Here is a 953-nt window from a genome sequence, read left to right as displayed (position 1 = left end):
GATCATGCCACTGCACTCCAGCCTGGGTGACAAAAGCAAGACTCTGTCTCAAAACAAAATGAAACAAAACAAAAACAAAAACCTCAAGCTGCTTGCTGTGCCATGAGTAATAAAGGTCTTCGCTTCTGATCCAGGAGTCTCGTGTATTCCACTAGCATCTTTAAAACAATGGCAAGCCAATGTGTTAGCCTCAGACCTCTCACGGTTCTTGACAGTTTGGTAGCAAGATGACTCAGCAATGTGGGGTATCACACCCAGAGTAGGGAGTAACACATAGAAAAAGGGAGCTGTGTCTTCCTGTGGATCTCCCTTAAGAGCCAGAAACAAATTTCCCAGAAGTCCTCCTTGTAACCACGCCCCTGGGACGCGTCCCTGCGCTTGACCGGGAGCAAATGGACCCACCTGACTCAGGGGTTGGCTGCTCCAGGGGCTCTAGACATGGCCGCGGGGCTGGCTGCTCTGGGGGACCCACCTGACTCGGGGCTGGCTGTTCCAGGGGGATCCACCTGACTCGGGGGCTGGCTGCTCTGAGGACTCTTGTCTGCAAGGCTGCCTCTCAGCGTCTACATGGGGAGCGTCTGTGTCCAGAACGGTGCCGGCACGCGGAGCACTCCATGAATATTTGGTGAACCAGAAGGTGTGATTGTGGTTGTGCAGCTTGCTCTGGGAGTCTGCAGGGCTGCCAGTGGGAGGAAGAGGGGCTCCAGAGGAGACCACCGCCCTCCTGGCCCCGTCTTTGACTGAGATGTGCTGTCTCTGCACAGTAACTGGATGCTGCTCTGTCTGGAGATTTGGGGTCCAGCCCCTACTTCATCAGCCCCCCGGGACTCAAGCTGCCTGCAGAATGCTGGGCAGGGTCTGGGCAGCCCCTCCGACACCTGCAGGGGGTCCCGCGGGGTCCTGTGGCGGCATTCCTGGGCCAGCTTCCCCTCTGCGTCCTGCCCTGTACCTGG

At 57.3% G+C, this 953-nt stretch overlaps 1 annotated feature.

The window, feature by feature from the left end:
• Window positions 283–422: an enhancer, noted in NCBI's record as "active region_11388". NCBI's record gives its function as "activates an Ori minimal core promoter by ATAC-STARR-seq in GM12878 lymphoblastoid cells {active_cell/tissue: GM12878}" and the evidence as "EXISTENCE:reporter gene assay evidence [ECO:0000049][PMID:35858748]".

This window comes from Homo sapiens, chromosome 16, assembly GCF_000001405.40.
Source record: "Homo sapiens chromosome 16, GRCh38.p14 Primary Assembly".
Lineage (NCBI taxonomy): Eukaryota > Metazoa > Chordata > Mammalia > Primates > Hominidae > Homo > Homo sapiens.
This window is presented reverse-complemented; position numbering and strand designations above follow the sequence as displayed.